At 55.1% G+C, this 26,255-nt stretch overlaps 1 protein-coding gene across 5 annotated transcripts in view, besides 2 other annotated features; it reads left to right on the plus strand.

The window, feature by feature from the left end:
* CDH4 (cadherin 4) overlaps nucleotides 1-26,255 on the plus strand; it is a 688,357-nt gene that overhangs the window by 638,979 nt on the left and 23,123 nt on the right. For all 5 annotated transcript variants that reach the window (NM_001794.5, XM_047439812.1, XM_047439813.1 and 2 more), the window contains 2 exons: nucleotides 3,671-3,808; nucleotides 19,183-19,368. In NM_001794.5, the coding sequence (NP_001785.2) occupies nucleotides 3,671-3,808; nucleotides 19,183-19,368 (324 nt within the window). The remainder of the gene's footprint in view (nucleotides 1-3,670; nucleotides 3,809-19,182; nucleotides 19,369-26,255) is intronic.
* Nucleotides 264-763: an enhancer, noted in NCBI's record as "H3K4me1 hESC enhancer chr20:60466559-60467058 (GRCh37/hg19 assembly coordinates)". NCBI's record gives its function as "activates a minimal SCP1, AML or CMV promoter by ChIP-STARR-seq in naive H9 embryonic stem cells {active_cell/tissue: H9 hESC(naive)}" and the evidence as "EXISTENCE:reporter gene assay evidence [ECO:0000049][PMID:30033119]".
* Nucleotides 9,843-10,736: an enhancer, noted in NCBI's record as "H3K4me1 hESC enhancer chr20:60476138-60477031 (GRCh37/hg19 assembly coordinates)". NCBI's record gives its function as "activates a minimal SCP1, AML or CMV promoter by ChIP-STARR-seq in primed H9 embryonic stem cells {active_cell/tissue: H9 hESC(primed)}" and the evidence as "EXISTENCE:reporter gene assay evidence [ECO:0000049][PMID:30033119]".

The following is a 26,255-nucleotide window of genomic DNA, read 5'->3' on the forward strand; positions in this document are numbered from 1 at the left end:
TCACTGTCTCAGCAACTGGTCACGGCTATGTGGTCAGCAGAACACAGTCGTGTCCCATTTTACAGAGGGGGCTGCCAAATACAGGAGGCCAAGGTTGCTGACGGCTCTGCAGCCTGCAGGCCCCTCCCTGTCCTGCTGAGCCTCACAGCCTCCCCCTGGAACCCTCTCCTGCAGGGGGCCTGAGCCGCCCACTCTCCCCGGCCCTGCAGGAGCTCTGAGTGCTGCAGTCCTCCCCCCTTCTCCAGGTGACTGATCTGCTGCAGGGACCACGCAGGCATGGGCCAAGAAGCAGTTTCCTGCCCTTCCGAGAGGCCCCTGACACCTGCCTCCTTGAGGGAGATCTCTCAGAACAACAGCCAGGGCTGCATGATGAGGCACATGTTGGGGCTGGAGGGCCCAGGAGCCAGCGCCCCACTGCACTGAGCCCTGGCCCCATGTAGGCTGGGCCTGGTCACCAAGCCACAGTCACCCTGTTCTGGGTGGGAGGCCTTGTGGAACACCCCAGACCCTGATTGGCTGCCGTGTTCCCACCTCCCGGGTCCAACCGCACCTCCCAGCCCTGCCCTCAGTTCACCCTGTCACCTTCAGGCAGTGTGACTGCCTCTTCCTGGAAGCCTCCTCTGGATCCCCAGCCCTCCCTCCCTGAGATGCTTGTGGCCTTGCTCTCAGGCCTGTCCAGGTGGCAGTGGCTTACACTGCCTGATATTGGAGCCCAAGGTCAGCAAACGTCTTCTATAAAGTACCAGGTGGTCCATATTTTAGGTTTTGTGGGGCATACAGTCTCTGTGCAGATACTCAGCTCTGCCTTGAGAGTGTGAAAGCAGCCATAGATAATGTGTCAATAAAAGAGCATAGCCATGTGTCAATAAAACTTTATTTACAATAATAGTGATGCGCAGATTCAGCCCACAGGCCATCGCTTGCTGTCATGTATAAGTTGGATCCTGTGATGCACTTAAAGCCCGTTGGTGACTCACAGCTGTCCACAGACTGTCCAGACACCTTATGGAGCACCCAGGCCCCTCTGTCATTCCTCAGAGCTTCTGTTGCCACCACAATCATTGGCAACATTAACTTGCTGTCATGGGGCACCTACTCTGTGTTGGGCCCACGTTTGACCCTGGAGACACAGTGGGTGATGGATGAGACAGCCATGGCCCCCCAGAGCTCAGGTTGGCAAGGGTTACAGACAATGATCAAGGGAGGACACAATAAACGTAAAAGTGCAAGCCAGGAATGAGTCATGGATGAAGAGCAGGCTGAGCTGAGAGCATGCTGGGCTGGAGGGCTGGGAGAGAATTCCATGGGAAAGGGACATCTAGGGGCTGGGGAGCTTGATTCAAGATGAGGCCACAGAGGGGGTTAGCAGCCATGACACATGGAGTGCTGTGGCCATGTTGAGGGTTTGGATGTATGCCAGGGAGCTTTTGCTGCATAATAAAAGATCCCAAAACTTAGCAGCCTAAAACAACCACCATTTATTTCTATTTATTTAGCTCACAATTCCACAAATTGGCAATTTGGGCTAGGCTCAGCTGGAAAACCCTTCCATCCTTGGCTGGGCTCATTCATCCATCTCTCATCAGCTGCCAGTTTGGCTTGGGGCTGGCTGGTCTTAGAGGGAAGGAGGAAGGAATAGAAAGACAGAGGGATGGAAAGGTAGAAAGAGGGAGGGAGGGATGGTGTATGGGTAGGTAAGTGGATGGATAAATGGATGGGTGGGTGAATAGAGGGATAGATGGGTGGATGGGTGAGTAGAGGGATGGTGGATGGGTGGGTGGGAGGGTGGATGGATAGATGGATGGGTGGGTGAATAGAGAGATAGATGGATGGGTGAGTAGAGGGATGCTGGATGGGTGGGTGGATGGATAGATGGATGGGTGGGTGAATAGAGGGATAGATGGACGAGTGGGTGAATAGAGGGATGGTGGTTGGGTGGGTGGGTGGATAAATGAATGGGTGGCTGAATAGAGGGATAGATGGATGGGTGACCACAGGGATGGTGGATGGGTGGGTGGGTGGATGGATAGATGGATGGGTGGGTAAATAGAGGGATAGATGGATGGGTGGGTGAATAGAGTGATGGTGGTTGGGTGGGTGGGTGGATAAATGAATGGGTGGGTGAATAGAGGGATAAATGGATGGATGGGTGAATAGAGGGATGGTGGATGGAGGGGTGAGTGGATAGATAAATGGATGGGTGGGTGAATAGAGGGATAGACGGATTGGCGGATGAGTAGAGGGATGGTGGATGGGTAGGTGGGTGGATGGATAGATGGGTGGGCGAATAGAGAGATGGTGGATGGGTGCATGAATAGAGGGATTGTGGGTGGGTGGGTAGGTGGGTGGATCGATGGGTGTGGGGCAGATAGAGGGATAGTGGATGGGTTGGTGAGTGGTTGGATAGATGGATGGATGGGTGAATAGAGGGATAGTGGATGAGTGGGTGAGTGGATGGATGGATGGATGGGTGAATAGAGGGATGGTGGATGGGTGGGTGAGTGGATGGATGGATGGATGGGTGAATAGAGGGATGGTGGATGGGTGGGTGAGTGGATGGATGGATGGGTGAATAGAGGGATGGTGGATGTGGGGGTGGGTGGCTGGGTGGATGGATGGATGGATGGATGGGTGATGGTTGGAAAGAGAAAAGGTTGGTGACCATCTGCTGTTTGTAATTCCTTACGGAGCCAGTTTATGGAACTTGAGCACGTTTCACTGAATCACACCGCTAGGAGCTGGTCTTTTCCCTTAACCTCTTAGAGAAGCACGACTCAGGATTGTTAGTCACTTGGAGAGCATTTCACAGGTTCCCTTTTCGCTTTGGTCCCCAGAATCCCCCTCCCCTAATGGTACTGGTGAGAGGCGGGCTGTGGTCCCAGCAGGGAGCTGCCCACAAGCCTGTCCTCAGCTGTCACCTCAGAAGTTCATGGCCTCTGGGTCAGAACAGAGGTGTGGAAAAGCCACCTCTGCCAGCTCAGGGATTTTGGCACTGATGGACTCCCAGCAAGGGCCCTGAGGAGAAAGGCCATCAGACTCCTTCAATGCCTAATAAAATGCATTCATCCTGCCAAGACTTATTTGCCATTTAAAGCTCACACCTGCGCCTGCACGGTAAACTGTCAGGACTGCTTTTCCAGCAGAAAGCATGCTTGCATCTCCGCACCTGCACAGAGAAGGGAAAGGGTTTGTCTTTTCTTCCCATTTGAATATCTGACCTGTAGTTCAGCTGGACAAGCTAAACACTCAAGAAACGAAGTCCCTCCTGACCCGCGTCTGTGGGGCATCCCTCCCTTTGCAAACTGTCCCTGCTTGGTTTTCTAGACCGAATGCAACCCCAGTGCCCTCTGGGCTCCCCTGTTCTCCTCCCTTCTATCTTGGCACCAAACGTGATCTGCCCCTATCAACGGCAGGGCCACTGAGATGAAAACACAGGCAAACCTCTTCATGCCGCACCTTAACGCATGGCAAGGGGAGGAGAAACTTACTCCGACAGGCAGTGTCAACCAGGAGGCTTGGAAAGGGCCCTGCGCCCAGCACACAGCCCCCAGTGAAAGAGAACCGGTTCCAGGAACTCCGTTCCTGTAAACGGATTTCTTTTGATAAGTGCCCTGTCAATTAAAACCCAAACTGATTTTCTGTTCTTTCTCAACTGGTGTCTCCCTTCCAGAAAGTTCAGCAGTACACAGTCATCGTTCAGGCCACAGATATGGAAGGAAATCTCAACTATGGCCTCTCAAACACAGCCACAGCCATCATCACGGTGACAGATGTGAATGACAACCCGCCAGAATTTACCGCCAGCACGGTGAGTCCCTCGAAGCTGCCCAGTGACGCATGGCCCGTGCAGGGCAGGAATGCACTGGCGTGCGGCACAGCCTCCTCTCTCTCTGCGGCTCTGCCTGACGGGCACTTGGCAGATAGCGTGTAAGAAAGGCCCTGGGCAGCGGAGGCTGCTGTGTGGAGTGGCTCGATTCCTGATGTGCGCAGTAGGAGAGAGGCCGGGGCTCAGTCAGGGAGGGGACCGGCGGCGGAGGTCGGTTGCCACCTGGGAGGCATCTCTGTGATGTCTGGAGGAGTTGACTGGTACTGCCTGGGCTGATGTCACTGCCACTTTGGAAGGCCTGCGTGTGGGACCCGCTTGGGGAATGCCCAGATGGGGCCTTGGCATGGCGGGTCCATCCCTGTGTGTGGAACTTGGCTGACCCTCTGTGGCCTGCTGTCGGCAGAAAGGGGGTTGTGACTGGGCCCCATACCGGCTGCCTGGGGCCTGAGTGACCATTCACTGAATGTTGTTGAAAGTCCAGTGTGAGCCCCGAGCCCCTAGTTCACAGGGGACCAAACTCTCTCTGGTGGGAACACGGTGGAGACAGGGCTGTAAGGCATGCAGCCCCCACTTCCTCTGGATTCCAGCAGGGCAGCTGCACCACCAGGAGGGACCCTTCCCTTGAAATCTGCAGAGGCCACTGCGCCGACAGACATTTGATGACCCCACTTCCCTGCTGCCCAGCGATCTGGGGAGGTCCCGGCCTTGGCTGTCGCCCTGCTTACCAACCAGGACCCTTTGTGGTGATTCCCTGGGTCCATGGGGTGTGACACGGTGTCCCCAGGCTGTCATTTTGGGCCCCGTGTGGCAGTGCTGACATCATGGGCACGTGGCCCAGCCCCGGGAGCCCCTCTAGAAAGGTCGAAGGCACCAGGCTGGGACGTGCAGAGGGGAGAGTCAGCGAGGGCTCCCAGAGTGGCCGTGGCCCTGAGATGCCAGGATCTCAGGGTCTTCTCTGCTCCTACCACCATATCACCCCCTTCTCCCCCAGGCCTAGGCCCCCGCAGAGCTGTGTGTCAGTCATGATAGCAATGACAGTGGCACACCAGCTGCATCTGTGGAGGTGCCCCTCGGGCACCAGGGTGAGGCCAGGGTGCGGCCAGGGTACAGCCAGGGTGCAGAGCTAGCCTCTGATCCCAGCCAACCCCGACCAACCCAGTGACAGATGAGGACTCTGGGCTCCGGGAGGCTAAGAGGGAGAGGGGAAGGGATGGGGTCAGGAGGGAGACGCTCCTCCCGGTGGGTGGGCCGGCTTGCTGAGAAGGCAACTAAGGCCAGAGCCCCTCGCCACAGCGGCCGTCCCGCATCTGGGCCTCCTGCGTCCTGCATCCCAGGCCTGGGGCGCAGCTGCACCAGGCGGAGGTGGCTGTGAGCACACAACGCCATCTGGTGGGAAGATGGCAGATCACAGCGAAGGAAGCCAGCTCAGCCCCACTGCAGCAGGGCAGGGGGGCTCTAGGTGCTCCCCCAGGCTCCTGGCAGTGAGTCCAGGCAGCAAGCGGCCAGGGCAACCAGGAGCCCGAGGAGCATTTAACCGGGCGCAGCCCCAGGATGCAACAGCTCTCATACAATTGGCCAGGAAGGCGTTCAGATGGTTTGGAAAACACCTGCTTCTCTCTCTTGGCTTCAGTCTCTATTTGCTCTCTTCCGGCCAGTGAGCAATGGTCAGGAAAAGCTCAGGGCCAGGCTGCCGGGGAGTCTGGACATAGGGGAAGCAGCTGCTAACCCCAGGGCCCTGAAGAATAATAACGTCCAGGCCCAAGAGCGCAGCAGGGCTGCACCCACACAGCTGGCCGGACAGCCCCAGCTGTCCTTCCTCCCTGACTCCGAGAAAGAAAAGGAAGTGATGGCAGGGAGGGAGGGGAGAAGGTGACCCAAATTGTGTGGAGCAGGTGTCTCTGCCTTTCTCGGAGCCAGCATCCCTGTGAAGGAAGATGGAGAACCGGCAGGATGTCCCTGACCTGCACATGCTCTGAAAAACGGCCAGCCCAGGGAGTCACACTGAGCCCCCCACAGAATTCTGCATTTGACTCAAGGCAACTTAAAGCACATTGCAGGGGAGAATTCCTGCCTCTGTGTCCCCATGAACGAAAGGTGGGGATGGCCTGATTCTCTGAGACGTTGGGGGGCAGAAGATAAACAAGGGGCATTGTGGTCCTAAATCCCAAAATTCAGAGAATCCCATCATTCCATTGCAAGCCCTACCCCTCGTCTCTGGTCCCCATCCCGAGACTCTGGGAGGCAAGCCCTACCCCTCATCTCTGGTCCCCATCCCGAGACTCTGGGAGGCCAAGGCAGAGGCCCTTCTAGACCTAGTGGACCAGCCACAAGCACTGACCAGCATAAGCACTGACCAGCACTGATCAGCCACCAGCGCTGACCAGCCACCACCATTTACCAGCACTGACCAGAAATGACCAGCCACCAGCACTGACCAGCACTAACCAACACTGACCAGCCATGAGGACTGACTAGCCACCAGCACTGACCAGCCACCCCCACTGACCAGCACTAAGCAGCCCTTGGCACTGAGCTACCCTCGCCGCAACTGCTGACCGGCCACACCACCCTGGGGCTCCTCCTCCTGGGACTGGGGCAGAGGGTCCCCATGGCATTTATTAGAGAGAGGCGTCTCTGTGCTTTTCCAATGGCTAAGCACAGGCTACTGCAGCCTCGTGCGCCTCCCAGAGATGGGCCATTGTCCATCCTTGGTTCCAGGGGGCCTCAGGCAGGTCCCAGACCCCAGATCACGGGGCAGGGGAACGGCATCTCTTGAGGAGTACGCAGATATGTCTAGATGCTTCTCAGCCAGTGTCTGCGGCACCTCCCAGTCTAACACAGTCCGGGAGAGGATCTGCAGTCCACTGCTTTGGTCAGGCCGGCGGGGTGACATGCTAGTGGGTGGACAATGGACGGATGACCCTGGCAGGGAGGGTTCCCTCCACCCTGCGGTGGCTTTTCCAGGTGACTGGGTCGCATGGTCCTGGAGAAGGGGTGTCAGTAAATACTCGGGGTTAGGATGGCCCTTGGTGTGTCCTCCTAGAGATGGGTGACAGGCAGGAGCCCCGGGACACTGTCCATGCCTCACCGTGGGACGGAGCAGGCAGAGGGGCCAGCAGGATGGCGAAGGCCGGCCACACTGCCGCACATGCCGCCAGGCTATTTTTACCAAGCCTAATCAAGAACAATCAGCAGAAGCTACAGAGATGCAGGGGATTTGCATGATCCGATTCTGAGTCCTAAATGTTAATTAAAAGTTATTTTCCCTTCACTGGCTCTGAGCGCGGCTGCACTGCCCACGTGAGGCTGAGTGGGGACCCTCGGCCCTCAGCACTCCCTCCAGCAGGTGAGCATGGGGTCTGCTGCGCTAGAAGCTGGTGGCCACAGAGGACACAAGCTTCAGACCCTGCCCCAAAGCCTCCTATTAACACCGATGGGTCCTGCAGTGAAGTTCTCAGGGACAGGTCCAGACAGCACAGAGTGACCCTGGAGATCTGGCATCACAGGCCTTCCTCCAGGCCACCCCCACCCCATCCACACACATGCTCACGGAGGGGGGGTCCCCTGGAGTCAGGAAGCCCAGCCCTGGCCCCACCCTTGGTCCCTGCCTGCTGTGTAGCCAAGGCCGGAGAGCTGGACCTCTCTGAGCCGCAGGATTTTATCCCGGCTTTCCACCTAGAATTAATCCCACCTCAAGGTGTCGTCGGGAGCACTGCTGATCTATGTGAAAGTTTAAGACTTCAGCAATATAAATCTGCTCTAAAAATGCCATGGGTGGTGCCCAGACCCCCATCCCAGGGGCATGGAGCTGGGTGGCGAGCAGACAAGGTTCCAGCTTTAACAGACCTGGAGTCCTGTCCCGTCTCGGTCTTTCATAGGTGAGGGGCTTACAACAATGTCACCAAAACCTTCTCAGCCCAGTTTCCCCAGCTGTTAAAAGAAGAGGGAGGGCCGGGCGCAGTGGCCCAAGCCTGTAATCCCAGCACTTTGGGAGGCCAAGGTGGGTGGATCACGAGGTCCGGAGTTCAAGACCAGCCTGGCCAAGATGTGAAACCCCATCTCTACTAAAAATATATATTTTAAAAAAAAATTAGCCGGGTGTGGTGGTGCGCACCTGTAATCCCAGCTACTCAAGAGGCTGAGGCAGAGAACTGCTTGAACCTGGGAGGTGGAGGGTGCAGTGAATCGAGATTGCACCATTGCACACTAGCCTGTCTCAAAAAAAAAAAAGAAAAGAAGAGGGAGGTGGTATATCATTGTTGTAGTTTAAAATGCATACATGATAAGACATATTTTGTTTTTACTGTATGTCTTTTGTGAATGATCTATTCCCCGTCCCAAGCAAGCATGAATAAAATCAGGTTAATTTTTTTCTTTTTTGAGACAGAGTCTCGCTCTGTCGCCCAGGCTGGAGTGCAGTGGCGTGGTCTCGGCTCACTGCAACCTCCGCCTCCTGGGTTCACGCCATTCTCCTACCTCAGCCTCCCGAGTAGCTGGAACTACAGGCGCCTGCCACCACGCCCGGCTAATTTTTTGTATTCTTAGTAGTGATGGGGTTTCACTGTGTTAGCCAGGATGGTCTTGATCTCCTGACCTCGTGATCCGCCCACCTCGGCCTCCCAAACTGCTGGGATTACAGGTGTGAGCCACCGCACCCAGCCCAGGTTAAATATTTTTTGAATAAAGAGGGAAGGGAGTCGTGGTGGTTTCCCCACAGGGTCTCCGAGGACAGGATGAGTGGGTCCCCAGCGTTTAGGATGTGCCCAGCTCAGCCAGTGCCTGGTTATCACAGTTGATGTGGAAATACAGATTTTTCTCTCAAAGGGGTTAAAAATGGTTTTGCCAGAGGCAGGGTGTCAGCTGAACTTAGGAGCCCTGGGGTCTGTGGGTCTGTGGTCCCCATGTTTTTGAGGTCCTTCTGGAAGTTCCCTCCCCAAGCCGCCCGAGGATGCTGCCTGCGGTCCCTCCTCGGAAGTGACCCTCCTGGCCAGGAAGAAGGGCAGCCCCAGCTCTGCAGGGCAGACAGGCTACTGGCCAGCCTCAGCGGGGGGGACTGGCTGGGCTGACCCAGGGCAGCTCTCGCCCACAGATCCCCAGCCCCTCAAGCCTGGCTGCGTGCCCACTCTGGCCAAGCCCTGTGAGTCCCTGACTTCTGCAGAAGAAGGGAGAAATTACGATTCAGCGTGAGTTCCTGAGCACAGGAATTTGGCATCTTAAAATTAGAACGGACTCAGTGCCCTTAATTACGCTTGGGTGCACAGTGCAAGCCTCGGCCGCACAGTGCAAGCCTCGGCCATAAATCATTAATTGGAGCCAACTTTTCCGAGCACAGAGGTGGCAGCCGCAGGGACCAGGAGCTCCCACCCACCCGACATCACCTCCCGCCTCCTTGCTCCTCCTACCAGGGACGGCTTCCCAGAGACGGCTGCAGAGGGGGCGCTTCTGAGAGGCCAACTCTGGGTCCACCCTGGGGCAGGGACCAACAGGACACAGGCCCAGAGACGTGGGGGAATGGCGGACTGGAAAGGACAAGCCCAAGGCAGAGACACACAGAAACTTGAGGTCCCTCAGCCTGGGGGTCAAGACTTAGTCCTCCCAGCCGCGGTGCTTCCGCCAGTCTCTCAGGCCTCCTTGGACCCGCCTGTCCAAGCTGCATGGGAGAGATGGGGCCCAGGGGTTGGGGGTGGGCGCTGGGCCAGACTCCCCAGCTTCAAGCCTGGCTCCACAACTGACCAGCTGCTGACCTTGGGCAAGTTGCCTCCCTTTCCTCATCTGTTCCTGCCTGATGGGTGTGTGAGGACCGAATATTCCCGGATATCAGTCCCTTGGCAGCGTACCTGACTCAAAGAAAGACCAATGAGTAAAACAGCAACAATATGGCCATCGTGGCTGTTGTATGATTAATAATGCCGATTGATAGCAATTGTGTCCTTCACCCTGGCACAGATGAGCTGCTGACAGGAGCTGCCTGAAGTTGTGCTCCAATCCCGGGTAAGAAGATGGGTCAACCTCTCTGTCCTTTCTGGGAAGGGAGCAAGCCAATCTGGTCTATGGACCCAAAAGCCCAAAAAGGGGTTTCAGGTTAATTTTTAGCTAAATGACTGGTCCTTTCACTCAAGCGGGTATTGCAGTGAGCAGGAGCAGGAGCAGGAGGAGTAGGGGCAGGGGCAGGGGCAGGGGCAGGGGCAGGGCCTGCAACTTCCTTCTGGTCACAAGAGCCACAGATCCGACAATTCTGATTTGTGAACTCAGAACTCAGCAGAAATCGTCACTGTTTTACTGAATAGAACACAGAATTGCAAAAAGCAATAATGTTGTAATGTCCAAAGGAGCTGTGGTTTGTAGGTTTACGCTATCAATTTTCCAATGCAAGCAATCACAGAACAGAGAACTACAGCTGGCTGTGTCCCCAGGTGGCTCCCAGCCCCGTCGGGGGGCGCAGCAGACCACACCCCAGCCAGACAGGAGCCGTCAGGGCCGGCGCTCAGCTGTGCTAGTTACAGTGATGGATCCGCTGAGCTCCGGCTGGGCAAGAGCACCAGGCTTGGGCACTTCCCTCCAATTAGATGCCCTCGTCCACACCGGGCTCCGGCCGGGAGAAGCAGCACCCAACGCCGGGTGGCTGGGAACGTCAAGGCCTCATTAGGACCAGCCGGACGCTTCTGAGTAAGCGGCAGCTCAGTGAAAGCATCAATCCCACGCTGGCCCATGGGGTTGGGGTGACAAGGGCAGCAGCAGAGTCCCATTTCCGCTCATTCAGACCTGCTCCGTGGGAAGAGGCAAAAGGAGGTCCTGAGCCTTCCAGGAGACAAAGCTGGGCCTCAGTGGCACCACTGTCCGTCAGAGGTGGAAGTAAAGTTCGCAGTCGGCCGTGGCTCATCTTTATGAGATATTGACTCACCGCCACTAGTCTAGTTGCCAGGAAACAGGATGTGGGAGGGACAGACAAAAATTAAGTACAGCAGCAAATCACCAAGATGCAGTCCTGCGTGTCACACCTGAGGAGCAGCCTGGAGCCAGGGGCACCTTCTGGCTTCCAGCAACTGATGGAAATTCAAACCATGACGTGTTCAGTCCTTGGAGTTCCAGAATCGTGAAAGGCGGGTCCTCGGCAGGCGTGGAGGCATCGTGGATGGCCGTTTTCAGAGCAGGGCAGGCAGCACAAACGGATGAACGATGCAGAGGCAGAAAAGGTCAAGCCGGGGCCTCTGAAACCAGGACCCCCGGGGCCTCCATTCCAGGAGAAGCAGCCTCACTCTGCCCTTCACCAGCCACGGAGACCCGGGGTCTATGGGCAGTGCCCTAAATGCCAGCCATGCCCTGGGGCACGCGGTCACCACCCCGCAGAACCGCTCCCGTGCTCGTTGCAGGAGTGCAAGGGCAGATCCACAGAGGAGCGTGCGGGGCCCCACCTTCCCAGGGATTTGCAGGCAAATGAGCGGCCGTTGACACAGGGACAGGCACACCTTTTCTTGAATGGTCTGGAGAGTAAATGTTTGCGCTTTGGCTGCCGGAAGGTCTCCGTGGCAACTCCGAAACTCCGCCATTGTAGGACAAAAACAACCACAGACAAAACAGAAGCGAGTGGGTGTGGCCATGTCCCAATAAACTTTATTTACAAAAACAAAAAGATTCAGGCCACAGGCTTGTTGTCGAGCCCTGACTTCACCTATAGCAAAGAGGCTACATAGGTGTCGTTTTGGGAATATTTGAAGGAGGAAGATTCTAGCATTGCAGACGTCTAAGTATGAGGTCAGCGCCTCGTCACCACCTGTCTCAGAGAGCTGATTAAAAATCTCACACCACACACAGCAGAGGTGGCACAGGCCTGTAGCTCCAGCTACATGGGAGGCCGAGGCAGGAGGATCACTTGAGCCCAGGAGTTCGAGGCTGCAGTGAGGTGTGATCATGCCACTAAACTCCAGCCTGGGCAACAGAGCAAGACTGTCTCAAAAAAAAAAAAAAAAAAAAAAAAGACACACAGTATTAGCATTGAATTAAAAAACTAAATATCTTAGGAAACTTCGTGTGCCACGTGCCAGGCCTTGTTCATTATGTTTGCACATTCATTCATTCATTCATTATTTCACCCCGCACTGGGCACTCCCTATGCCAGGGTACAGGACAGCTACAGAGAAAACCAAAGCAGTCACAGCCCCTGCTCCTCAGAGGTTAATCTACATATTTAAAATCTGTAAGGCCAGGCATGGTGGCTCACGCCTGTAATCCCAGCACTTTGGGAGGCCGAGGCGGGCAGATCACCTGAGGTCAGGAGTTCAAGATCAGCCTGGCCAACATGGTGAAACCCCGTCTCTACAAAAATACAAAAATTAGCTGGGCATGATGGCGGGTGCTTGTAATCCCAGCTACTCACGAGGCTGAGGCAGAAGAATTGCTTGAACACAGGAAGTGGAGGTTGCAGTGAGCCAAGATCGAGCAATTGCACTCCAGCGTGGGCAGCAGAAGAGACTCCATAAAAAAAAAAAAAAAAAAAGTGTAAATGTACATATTTTATTTCTGTGGATTTTGGTTTTTCCCATTTTTCTACCATGAGCAATTGTTATTCATTCGCGGATGTATAATTCCCCATTCCAAACAAAAACCGTGAAGGTGACCTCTCAAGACAAGCAGGGTATGGGGCCGAGAGGCAGCCCCCAGGGGGCCAGTGCAGCCTCAGCGACCCTTCCCCACCGCTGGTGACCTCGGGCAGGTTGCCTCCTGGAGCCTCAGTTTCGTTACCTGCAAAATGGGAACAATAATATAATCCCCTCTGCCTCCTGCTCCCAAAATGCTGTCATTCTGTTTCCCTGGGGTTGTCACCAGCATGAGCCCAAGGTGCCCCTTCTCTGAGACAGGCCTGTCTCCTTGCGAGGGCCCGCAAGCTTCTCCTCTCTGCTGCTGCCCGCTGCCAGCTGTTTTGCGTTTCTGCTCTTGCAAATGTGGCTTCTCTTGGTGCTTTGGAGGCATCTGAGTGGCCGCCCCTGGGACTTCCCCCAAGCCGGCGTCCTGTGGGCTTGCCCCAGCGGGGGACAGCAGCCAGTCCTGAGAGTATGGGCTGCAGGGCCCGTAGCCCCACCCACACCGAGCTGGCGGGAGCCGTCATCGGGGCCTCCACCAGGGATTGGATGTTAGGGGCATGAGGATCAGCACGGCAGCAACTCACTGGAAGGGGCGCAGGCGTGCCAGGGGCTGCGGCTCTCTCGTGGGGCTCCCAGTCCTCTGGGTACCTGGAGTTCATGGTCATGGAGCATGGGGGTCACCAGGCAGCTGCTGGGAACTGGTGGGATGTGGGACAGGGTGTGCCCTGTGCTCTCCCTGGGGACTCTCCGGCAGCTTCTCCCTCTTCCGTCTCTCCCCTGGCCCCCTTCTTTCTTGATGAAACACCTGCCTGGGCTGGAGTCCTCACGCCCACCAGCCAGAAGTCAGCTTTGTCTGCACCGTGTCCCCCTGGTCTCTCGGCATCTCGGCAGGCACAGAAATCCACCCCTTAGCCCTGGTCATTACAGCAGCAGGTGGGCACCGACCCTGTACCAGGTGCTGCACCGAGTGCCCTGACTGTGCCAGCCCATCCGACCCCACAGCCTCCTGAAGAACGGGCTCCCTCCTCCCCGTGACACAGAGGGGACCACCCTGCTGTGGGGAACAGAACTTCCCTCCCACTGCCTCCCACGTGGCCGCTTGCCGTGTGGCAGATGCGGGACTTCTCCCTGAAGACAGGACCACCGTGGCCCCAGCATAGGTGCCTTGGAGGCCCCAGGGTCTTGCTGGACATTGTGTGGATGGGGCCTGGCCCTCTCGGCCCTGACCGCCCACTGACATCATAAGGGAACAGCTGGGTGGGTTTTTCCTGAAACACCGGCTGTGCTGCAGGGTTCCTGCCCAAATCCTCCTCTTGCGAATGGTGACCTTCCCCTGAGAAGCTCACAGTTTCTGCCTCAGAGCTGGGATTGTGCCGGAAGGCCCTCGTAGGAAGACAAAATCCTCCTACCTCTCGGGATGGGTGCACAGTTGAATTCTAGATTACAGTCTCGGCAACAAATTCCATTCCGATGCTCTTAAAATTTCTCCTTTCCCAAATACCTGCCTTTTCATCCCAAGGGGCCTGAGAGGCTTTCCTTGTGTCGGAAAATCTGAAAAAATTAAATTTAAAAGTCATTATGGCTGGGGGAAGGTTAATAAGAAAATTCTAAACCAGATTTATCAGCTAAGGCCTTCTTTGTGAACCTTTATTAAACTTGCATGATTTAGAATAGACTCTTTGTATAAACTTCACTCAGAAGTCTGCAAGGGAATGGACGCAGAGAGCGCCGCGCTCCCTCCTCAGAAGGACGGGAGTGAGTGGAGAAGCGTCAGACAGGCCCTCGCTAAAACAGCAGACAACACCAGGACCCACCTGGCCATGTAAGCAGAGACAGACGCTACAGAGGATGTGAGGGGCCACAAAATCCAAGGGGCCAGGAGCTTCAGGCACGGCCGCTCCACCAGGAGGGTGCCCTCCTGCCCCCACCACTAGGCACAGAGCCTTGCCCCTGCTGCCTGCAAGGGTGCTAGCCACACCTTCTGCCTCTGCTGGCTCCAAAGCTCAAGGAATCTCTGCAGTTTGCCAGGATCAGGCCCTCTCTGCCTCTCTTCTGAACCACAGACAGCCAGGTGCACCTGGCTGGCATGTCCCTAGGTCACTTACCTGGTTGTGGCTGTAGAGGAGGCCAGGAAAGTGGATATCTGGAAAATAAGGAAGGGAATTCAGAAGGTGCAGGGGAACCAGGAAGCCTCACTAATGACCACTATGCTGACCCTGGCAGCTTGAAAAAAAAGAGAGTGGCTCATCTCACAAGAGCTGAGAAGTCTTGGAAAATCTCTCCCTTCAGGCATGGCTGGATCTAGGCTCCACCAGCTCACCATGACGCTCCCCTGGACCATGCTTCCTCCAGCCGGCTTTGTTCTCAGGCTGCGAATGGCGGCTCCCAACCAACCCAACACCTTCAGATTCACGTGGTTACCATGCCCAGGCCAGACGCAGGGGCCGCCAGAACTGACCCCTAATTGGCTGACTTAGGTCATTAGCCTATTTCAAACCAGTTATTGAGGCGGGGGCCTCAGGGGTGGAGAACAAGGATCTGAAGCATTTTCAGTGAAGGACCAGATAGTATTTTCATCTATGGTCAGGCTGTCTCTGTTACTGCGACTCAATGCCACTGTTGGGGCAGGAAAGCAGCCACGGGTGATATGTAAATGAATGGGGTGTGGCTGGGTGTCAATAAAACTTTATTTATAAAAACAGGCCTCGGGCCAACACCACACTAGACCAAGCTGACCAGAGCCCTTCATCCCACCAAGCCCTTAAGGAAACTTGGGGTGACATGGCCGCAGGACCGGAGCGGCATGGTCCTGCTCAACCCTCCCACAGAGGCCTGAAGGCCAGAAGCTACAGAGGGCTGCCAAGTGGCTCCCGGGGGAGGCCAGCAGGTTTTCACTCAAGGAAGGAGAAGCGCCCTAAGATTCAGGCAGGCTGCTTTGGGGGCAAGGCAGTGTCCCCAGCGGAGGGAGTGGCCCTGAGCCAGGTGTCAGAGCCCAGCAGTGTGTGCTACGGGGCCCTGGCAGGCTGCTTTGGGGCAAGACGGTGTCCCCAGCAGAGGGAATGGCCCGGGGCCAGGTGTCAGAGCCCAGCAGTGTGTGCTGTGGGCCCTGGCAGGCTGCTTTGGGGCAAGACGGTGTCCCCAGCAGAGGGAATGGCCCGGGGTCAGGTGTCAGAGACCAGTGGTGTGTGCTGTGGGGCCTGGCCAGAGCAGCGTCTGTGTGTTCATGGCATCTCTGGAGAGGGCTCAGGGTCCTGGCACCCAGGACATTTTGCAACTCAGATCTCCGGGGTCAGGGGAGCTCACTGGCCTTGAGTCCTCCACCAGCCACTGCAGGGGTCACCTGCCTGCCTCACTGACGATGGGGCAGGCCACCCTCCTCCCTGCTCCAGGTCTGCAAAGCTCCCCCAACCCTGAGGCCCTCCCACCACCACCTCTGCCTGGAGATGGTCCAAGCAGGGAGTGTATAATGTGACCCAGCTACCACCTCCCCTGAGGACACCAGGGGGACTATCACCTCCACCTCACAGCTCTGTCCCACCCCCAGGCCCCCCCGGGCACCAGGTCAGCTCCTAGACTCACAGCAACACGGACCTGGCTGAGGAGGGCTGCCCCTCCCGCCCATTCCCCGGCCCTTCTGGAACTTGTTCACAGGCCTCAGCGAAGCTTCCTTGAATGTCCCCCTGCAGTGGTCCTCTGCCCGGGGCCTGGCCGCCCAGGATCCCGTGTGGCCACAGCCTCAGCAAGGGCTGTCCTCTCACACCCAAGGACTGCAGGGCTGAGATCAGGCAGGCAGCTCCCTGTACCTCACTCTCAGGCATGTTCTCACCCCCAGAACATATGGATCTCCAACCATGGCCTGAGTCGCCCCTGCTATCCCCCAGTAGGCACCATCCCCCATGCCATGATGCCTTGCAGTGCAGGGCCCAGTGTGTCCCACGGCGGCGCCAGCTCCTTGTCCTGCTGGGGGACGATCTGACTCCTGGGCGGCTCAAAACGTGTGATGAAGGGAAGACAGAGTGAGTCCCGAAGCTCCCTCCTCTAGGGCCAGGTCAGCGTCTCCAGGCCTCCCCGGGTACCCAGCTGCAGGTTCCGGGCTCTGGCCACCTGGCTCAGGAACAGAGACAGCTGGGAGATTCCGTCCCACACTAGACATCGGGAGTGGTGGGGGCGGTAGCTGTCCACTCTGGAGTTTAGCAAAGACGGTTCCTCCCAATCCTCAGATGAGATCTGTGGCTGAGCGTGGCCATCGTGTGAGGAAGGGCTCCTGCTCCACAGACAGGGCTGAGATCCCACTTTGGATAAATCCACAATTTTTCTTCCTAACAAGCTGATTGTATCGGGATGTGAATGCTTGGACCTAAACGTGACAGGCAGGGCCCTTCCTACCAGACCCAGAGCTGGGCCGGGCTGCGGGGTTTTCAGCCCAGCTTAGAGCCCCAGGTCGAGGAGGCTGATTAAAGGACTTTCTCTGAGCTTTTGAAATACAGAGAAAGGACGCAGTGTTTGTCTGGGATTAAATTGGAATATTTTTCCATCCTTGACAAGGCAGCCCGTTGGTGTGGGCTCTGAATTCTTCTGTCGCGTCGCCGTCCTTTTTAGGAATGCTGACTCGGCTCCTGCCTGGGAAAGGGGACCAGCGTATTTCATTTTTGTGCATTTATATGAAGGCTATCACTCATTCCTTCATTCATTGATTGGGCCAGCAGGGACAGTCGCCATCTGTATTTCCCCGGACCCTGTTCACCTGATGTCTTTGTCCACTGGTCTAATGGGGCCTCCACGCTCATGACAGATGCACGGAAGGGGCGCGGGTGGGTCGGGTGAATCTGCGCCATCTCACAGCCTCCTCTCACACCGGCTCTGAGATTCTGGGCCCAGAACCGCTGCCTCGGGGCCTCTGTGTGCTTCTCTGTCCTTGCAGGACCTGCCTGTGGCAGACGCGGTCTGCTGGCCGCCCGACGCCCGTTTCCCACCCCTTCTCCGTTTCCCACCTCACAAGGCTCCCTTCTTTGGGCTTGTGGTGGCCGTGGGACATCGCCCTGTCCAACGGGAGTGTCAGCACAAGTCAGCTGGGGAGGGGCACTCCGGGAAGACTCTTTCTTACCGAAGGGACAGCTGTGCTTCTCAGGCAGCCAGAGGGCCAGGCCGAGCTGCAGGGTCCTGACCATGGGAGGCCGGGGAAGGACAAAGCCCCGTCCCAACGGGCCCAGCCACCTGCAGCCCTGGAAGGTCAGGCTCCTGGGTTCAGGTCACCCCAGTGCAAGTTTCTGTTTGCTGCACCTGAGGGCTTCTCCGTGACTCCTGGCTGAGGGCAGGTGTGAAGGTGGCCTGGGTAATTCCCCAGACACCCTAACGGCCTTGTTTTAACTTGGTCACCTCTTTAAAAGTCCCATCTCCAAATACAGTCACACTCTGAGGCCTTGGGGGTTTAGGGCTTCCACACAGAAACTCCAGGACACAACATTCTGCCCCTAACAGTGCCTCATGCCAGGACACAGGGGCTTCCCACCCGGGGACACTCCCGGTGGAAGGGGAGCAGAGCTGCCTGCAGATGTGCACAGCAGCCCTGTCCTGATGCTCCAGCGCCCGTCCTGGGAGGAAGGGTACCTGATCACAGCACCGTCACATCACAGAGCGCTGCTCAGCCATCTCAGCTGCACGCAGCAACACAAAGGAATCCCAGAGCCACAGTGCCCAGCAGAAGCCAGACACAAGTGCTGGAAGGTTCCGCCCATGTAAAGAAAAAACCCAGGTCAACTCATCTGTGACGCCAGAAGTCAGCATGAGCTTGCAAGGTTCCTGCAACAAATGGCCACAAACTAGGGGCTTGAAACAACAGGAATTTATTCTGTCAGTTGGAAATCACCAGGGTCTTGCTCCCTCTAAAGACTCCAGGGAGAACCCTTCCTGCCTCTTCCGGGTTCTGCTGGCCACCCTGGTGTTCCTGGGCTTGTGGTGGCATCACTCTAGTCTCTGCCCCCATCTCCCACGGCCTCCCCTTCTGAATATGTCTGCGTCTTCTCTTCTTTGTGAAATCCCCTCTGCCTCCCTCTTCTGAAGATGCACATGGTAGCATTTAGCTCCCACCTGGATAATCCAGAAAAATCTCCCCAGCTCAGAATTCTTACCTCCAGCACCTTTTCTTCCTACAAGGTGGCATTTCTAGCTCCAAGGATTGAGATGTGGCCATATCTTCGGGGACACCATTCAACCAGTACAGGTGGAAACTTTGGGACCTGGAAGGGGTCTGGGGTGGGGACTGGGAATGAAAAGAAGTGCCCATTGTTGAAGCCGCTCCATCAGTGGCCCTCTGCCGTGGCTGCAGGGCTGACGCACCTGCCGGGCAGGTCTGCACGCCTGCTTCAGTGGGGCCCCGGCAGCCGTGCTATGAGGCGTGCACTCCCGTGCACCCCTGAGCAGCCTGTCTTCTCTGATTCCTGATCTGGGCGTGGCTGACACGGTGTGTTCTGTTTGTGAACACTCGTTGAGCTGGGCTGACACGGTGTGCTCTGTTTGTGAACACTCCTTGAGCTGGGCTGACATGGTGTGTTCTGTTTGTGAACACTCCTTGAGCTGGGCCGACACGTTGTGTTCTGTTTGTGAACACTCGTTGAGCTGGGCTGACACGGTGTGTTCTGTTTGTGAACACTCGAGCTGGGCTGACACGGTGTGTTCTGTTTGTGAACACTCGTTGAGCTGCACATATGCTACGTGCACTTCTCTGTGCATATTTACACTTAACACGGGTTTGTGACATTCTTTCCTTCCATTTTGCAGTTTGCAGGGGAGGTCCCCGAAAACCGCGTGGAGACCGTGGTCGCAAACCTCACGGTGATGGACCGAGATCAGCCCCACTCTCCAAACTGGAATGCCGTTTACCGCATCATCAGTGGGGATCCATCCGGGCACTTCAGCGTCCGCACAGACCCCGTAACCAACGAGGGCATGGTCACCGTGGTGAAGGTGCGTACTCTTCTCACACCCTGCCAGGCACCCCAAGTTCTGCCACCTGCACACTCCCTAGGACCAGTCAAACAGGAGTGATACTCGGTGTAAAGTTACTGCCCCCCTAATATCCAAGGGTAGAGGCAGGTAACCCAACCTGCTGGAGGCAGACACAACCTTCACAAGGACCTGTCATGTGACCTTCAGGGGCTTGGCAGACCCCCCAAAAATACCCTCCCATTCCCTTTTCAATGTCTATATATTCACTCCCACCCCCTAATCTAGTAATGGGCGAATTTCATTATTAGAATTCCTAATGTTAAACCATCTTTGCATTCCTGAGACAGATCCCACTGAGTAGTGAGGTAATATTTTGTAACACATTGAAGAATTTGTTTTGCTGATATTTGAAGTTTTTCATGTACTTTTCTGGGTGATTTAGGCCTATAGCGTCCTCATCTGGGTTTTGGTATCAAGGTTACAGACTAATCTCAAGAGTTTTTCTGTCCCAGAGACAGGTCTTATGATGCTGTAATAATCTGTCCCCTGAATGTTTCGTCACACTGTGCTGTGAAGCCATTGAGTAGCTGTAGATTTTGTCTTTTTGGTCGTGCTTCTTTTTGTTTTGGAGAGAGATCGGTTTGTAACTACTGGTTCAATTTCTTTGATGGTTTTGGTCAGATATGTTCTTCTAGAAAAGTGTCCATTTAATCTAAATTTTCAAATTTACTTATAAAGGCCTATCATTATAGTAGTAGTGATTCAGTCTTCTAATCTAACTCTTTTTCTACACTCATAATTCATATTCCCCTGGAAGGGCAGATTGGGAATTATATCATAACACTTAGCAATCGTTTACAACTTAGTGTGAAGAAGTTTAGCAGCTATTGTCCCAAAACAATTTTGAATAGGACTAAGAAGAAAAGAGCAAGAGCACATTGGGCATTTTTAGAGAAAAGGAGGGGTGACAGAATGGTGAGCTTAAAGCTGGGTAGGATCTGCCGAAGCGTAAGGAAAAGCAAGATGAGCTTAAAGCTGGATAGGATATGCCAAAGCATAAGGAAAAGCAAGATGAGCTTAAAGCTGGATAGGATATGCCGAAGCATAAGGAAAAGCAAGGTGAGCTTAAAGCTGGATAGGATATGCCGAAGCGTAAGGAAAAGCAAGGTGAGCTTAAAGCTGGATAGGATATGCCGAAGCGTAAGGAAAAGCAAGGTGAGCTTAAAGCTGGATAGGATATGCCAAAGCGTAAGGAAAAGCAAGTTTCATTTTGAGTTGGATCATTTAGAAATTTCCTTCAGCAGCCCGGAGCAGAGACTTAACCACAGAAATTTAAATACTCGAGAGTTGTATTCTCTCACGTGAGAGGAGTCTGAGGTGGGCAGTTGGGGCCAATGTCACAGCTGCACAATCAACAGAAACCCTGGCTGCTTCTATCCTCTGCTCTGCTGTGCACACCTTTCAGCTTCTAGGGCCCCTCGTGGTCCAAAATGGCTACTAGAGCACCAGCCATTACGAGACTTTTACAGGCGGTAGGAAATCAAAAAGGGGGGAAGAATGGCTCACCCCTCCTTTATTAAGGGACCTTCCCAGAACACCTGTTCACATCTTCTGGGGCAGAGTTTAGTCACATGGCCATTCTTAGCCAGAGAAGACACTGCATAACATAATTATGGAAACATATCCCAAACTTCTCCTAAGGAAGAGGGGAGCTAGATGTTAGGAGATCACAGGGGAAGAAAATAGGCTTTCTCCAGGATCTGTGTCTTTTCTCAACACCCCAAAGTCATCTTTTTCCTTTTCTTAATAACCTCTTTTGTAAGCAAGCTAGTGAAGACCAGTTCTCCTGAAAAATCTTATAAATTCTTCATCATTTTTATTTTATGAAATATTCAAACATACACACAAGCAGAAATAATAGTGAAATGAACTTCCGTATACCCATCACCTAGATTTAATTAACATTGTGCTACATTTACTAAATCTTTTTATTTTGGCTGATATGTTTGAAAGTAAATTAGCATGTCACAGCATTCCAGCCCTAACTCTGTATAAGCTTTCTTCTTCAAGAGAGGCTATTTTTTCACCGTAAAAGATAGTTCTTAGAGAAGAGGCAAAATACACGTTTCACTTCCCCTCTAATTATGAATTTTCAGAGTGAGGTATTAGCACAGCCGGCCCCCCAGTGGCAAAGTCAGATCTGTGTGCGCAGGGACTGGGCATGGTGAGGAAGGATGTGGCAAACCCTTTCTCCTTTTCTCTGGGCGCATTTGACCTCAAGCTAACATTCTAGCTCTGGCCTCTAGAAACCCACAAGGTGAATCGTCAGCTGCTTTGCTGGCAACGTTGCTCATGGGAAGGTGATGGAGACTGGATGTGACATGCAGGCAGAGGAGAGGAGTGAGCCGTGAGCCCAGAGCTGGCTGGGGCCTTCCCCAGTGAGTAGCGAGCCTCGGCCCATCTCCTGCTTGTGATTCCAAGGAGGTATCTCTGACTCCCACAGCTCGGATTCTGTGGCCTTCACGGGGAGCACAACGGGCAGCCCCCGGCCCCAGGAGATCAGCACCTGTCTCACCTCCCCTGCCCTTGGAGGGCCACTTCTGTAGCTGGAGCACACACAGCCCCGCCACCTTCATCAGCCCAACATAGATCAGAAAGGGCCGGTACCAAGGAAGAAGGCTGGCTCGATGTGGTGGGGAAAGCCTGACCCCTAAGGACTCCAGGGAAGGTGGCTTCCTGCCCAGCCCAGGGGCTGGTGGCCTCAGCCGTCATGTGCCTGCCTGGCCCTATCTGCGCGGAGCATCACAGCCACGGAAAGTGGAAGAGCACAGCCAACTTCAGGGAAGCGCCAGTGTCTTGGGACTGCATGGGCCTCGTGGCACTGGGCCAGGCCCTCAGCAGGCCCACGGAGCCCCTTGGCAGGCCCACGGAGCCCTCTTCTGTTCTTCAGAGAGGAGCCACTGGTTCCAAGCATATAGCACAGACTAGACTGTGGGGCATGGACTGAGGGTCCCAGGAGGGCCTGGGCACCGCCACCCCGGGAACTGATTCCTGAGATGGGAAATCATCCCCTTCCGGTTCTTCCTCCAGCTGGGGATGCTCCTGAGAAGGCCGCTGGGAGAGTAACTCCTCCAGGGCTCAGCTGCTTGGCAGCCATATCCTCACAGCAGGAAGGCCCTGGCTGGCAGGTGGGTGGGGCATGAATTTTGGAGGCAGAGAGGAGGTGCTGACAGCAGCCAGGTGGGCACAGCCGGGCACATTCACTGACCTATTGCCATGTGACAGCTTGGCAGCGGGCCACCCTCTGCTGAGTTTGTGCCACGTCCCTTCCCCTAGCCATCAGGGTCTCCTGTCCAGCTCCACCCTCTCCTTGTCAGGCCTCTGTCTACGTGGTGAGAATGGGGTTTCCCGAAGCATGTCTACAGAACGCTGGTTCTCAGGATGTTGATGAGTGCTGCCTGCGAGCCACGTTCGTAGCTAAAATCTCCCCACCACCTGTGCCTCCTGCCCCCCCACAGCCAGTCAACATCAGTGGCACTGAGGCCATTGAGGGGCCTGTGAAAGGAAGATGAAACCTCAGGACCCCAAACCCACTATGCCAAGGGAAGTGGAGCATGGGGACTGAGTCTCACGGTGCTGCCTCCCTTCTGTGGCCACACAGGTAGCTGGGGCTTCACACACCTACCCCGGCTTCTGTGAAACGTGGATCCACTGAGCACTAAGCAGAGCCTCGCAAGGATGTAGCCACTGTCTCATTGCCTACCCGGCCCCCGCTTTTTTCTCCTTTCCTCCTCCCTCTCCTGTCTGCTCTTTCCTCTTTAAATATTGAAGTCCTCAAAACCCTCTTTGGGAAAAGCACAGGACACAGATCCCACTGGGACTTGTGCTTCTTCTTCCCGGGTGCGGGCTCAGCCTCGGCAGAATAACCCTGGAATCAACGGAGATCGGTGCGGGCTCAGCCTCAGCAGAATAACCCTGGAATCGACTCAGATCTTGCAGGCCCCATCCCTCAGGCCTGGGAGGCTTGGAGACCTGCCATGCTCAGGGGAACAAACATAGCCCCTGCCTGGTACCCCGCATCTCCCACCAGAGCAACAGAAACTAGAAAGGTGCTGCCACTCCACACCCACAGGCGGGCTGGCACCCACCAGCAGAAACCCAGATGTGAAAATCTGCAGATTTTCAGATTTGGGGCTTGGGGTGCATTTTACCTTTTCACAGCTGCCGTCTTCCCCACTGGGCACAAGGAGGAGCAAACCAAGTTCCTACAGCACTGCCTGCTGCATGTGCCTGGAGGGCTGCAGCTGGCTCAAGTCTTCATGACCTAGAGAACTAGTGCCGTCCCTATTTCTGCACTTCTCCAGATCTCCAGCACCCTGAAACTCCCAGGGAGCCTCAGGCCAGGCCCCAATGTGATCAGCTACAGTGACGTTGGGCACCGATACCAGGTGTGCCATCCTCACCCCCATCTCACTTGGTCCTCACGCCCACCAAGGAGGTGCTATTCTTGTCCCATTTCACAGATGGCATAACTGGGAGCCCACACACAGGATCACACAGTGGGGACTGTACAAGCTGGGGCTGGAACCTGCTACCTCTGCCATAAAGCCATCTGTTAACCGTCCAGGTTCCTCGCTGGCCCTGCCTATCTGACTGAGCCAAGGTGTCTGTGTGTGTTCAGGACAACGTTCCACAGGTTTGAGGCCGAGGCTGAGGGCTGGCTGGGCTGTGTCTGCTCAGAAACCAGTCCTCTTCCAGGGCATCCTGGCAAGGCCAGATGGTACCGTCTGACCAGCCTGAAACCTTCCTAGTGCCATGAGGAGGGGACACGGAGGCTTGAGGAGGGGTCCAAGGCCTCCTGAGGCAGCATGAAACTCTGACCCAGCTGACGGTCCCCAGCCCAGGGGCCCTGAGACCCCATGATGCCTCTCCCCAGCTGTAAGCCCAAGTCCTATAATGGGAAGCTGCTCAGCCGTCAAAAGGAACAAACGGGAGATCCATGTGACACGCGATGGGTCTCCAGTGCATCACACTAAGTGAGATGAGTCAGAACCAAAAGGTGGCCTGTTGCATGCCCCCATCTGCAGAACATCCCGGAAAAGACAAAACTGTGGGGACAGAAAACCCTTCAATGCTTTGCTGGTGGGTGGAGAGGAAGGGACTGCAAAGGCACAGCATGAGAGAAGCGTGGAGGAGACGGGACTCTCCTGCACCTTGGCCGTGGGGCTGGCCGTGCTTCCGTACACTTGTTAACATTCCTGAGAGTGACTCTTACTGCATGTCAATTTTCAAATAAATTTTAAAATTTGAGGAGCTGAGAGCACAGACTTGCAGCCACACTGTCCCCAAAGAGTCATGGGTCATTGTGTCCTAGGTAGAATTCAACAGGAGAACCACACTTTTTCTTTTTTCTTTCATTTTTGTTCTTACTCCATATAGTGCTTTTCTCTGAAGTTTCAATTTAGAATCTGTTTAAGGTGTGTATTTAGTCTGGGGATGCTTCGCCTTAGAAAACATTTCCAAAATTGGTTTTGCATTCTTTGGTAGAGACGTCGTCTTTTCAGGCATTCTCTTTCGGAGCAGGGGAGTGGGGTGGAGGGGAGGGGTTGGGGAGTGGCGGGTGGTGTGGGAGGTAGAAGGCCAGTGCAGGGACCCCATGGCCCAGCCCACAGGAGATGTCCAGTATCTTGAGGGCATCTGTTCTTAGATTCCCACGCTAGCTCTTTGCTCACTTACCCCTGGCATGGACCAGCCACTTAATCTCTCTGTGCCTCAGTTACCTCAAACATAAAATGATGCAAATTGTGGGGCCTATGCCCAGAGGCTTATGACTCACACTGAAATAGACCCTGGATATAAATGATTTGGCACAGTGCCCGGCACAAGGTAAGGACTGAATCAATGGTATTAGCTGCTGTCGTCATCATAACCATTCTCGTTATCATCATCATCATCCTCATCGTCTTCATTGTCACTGCTGTCCCGAGCTGGGGAGAGGCTCCTGATCATTCTCCCTGCTTAGTTCCCCAGAGCATGAAGGTTACTTTAATTCCATGAAGGGTCCCCTGAGTCCCTCAGAAGAGCAGGCACCATATCATGTATGTACACTGCAGACCTGACCAGGTCACTGCTCCCAACCTTCAGTAGTTTATAGTCTGCAGAGGGGATGGTGAGGAGGAATCAGTGAAATATTTTGTCAGGTACACACTGGAAGCCCCAAATCCAGCAATGCAGCAGTGTGCTCTTTCCTTCTCTAAACCGACTTAGCTTCTGTTTCTAGCTGGGTCCCCCCAGGTGGTGGTAAGTGGTAGACTGGCATCTCTTCTGCCTCCCTTTTCACACAGTTGTGTCTATGCTCTGGGCTGATGCAGTGCCCTGTGCAGGGAAGGAGAGCACTCCTGGGCAACTGTCAGAGGTGTTTGGTCACCTCTGTTCTCAGCCATCAGTCACCCAAATCCTGGCTGCATCATCCTTCACTTCTGCGGTCCAGCTCGGCCACTGTCAAAAGAAGTCCACAGGCATCTCGGGCACGTCATCCAGATCTGTCCTGCCCCACACTCCCAATTCCATCTCCCTAGCCATACCAGCCGGGGATGAGGAATGCGCCTTGCCACCTCCCAGGCTCTACCTGAGGTGGGCACACAGCTTCTCCGCTCTCAGGTCCCCAAACCCAAATACCATCTGTTACCATCATACCCTCCTCAGGGCCCAGCACGGCCTCTTGTCTCCCTCCTCCAGTTGTGAAATCTTATCTTGAAGGAGCAAGGCCCAGGTCCAGGCTCATCCCAGGTTCTTTCTCGTCTTACCCATGGCCCTCAGTTTTAAAGCTAAAAAGCCAAGAACCGGCCTCTGCCACTTCCCCTTCGGGCAGCAACAGAGCTGGCCTTCCTGTGGGAGGCTCGCAG

The sequence above is a fragment of the Homo sapiens genome, chromosome 20, assembly GCF_000001405.40.
Source record: "Homo sapiens chromosome 20, GRCh38.p14 Primary Assembly".
Taxonomy (NCBI): Eukaryota; Metazoa; Chordata; class Mammalia; order Primates; family Hominidae; genus Homo; species Homo sapiens.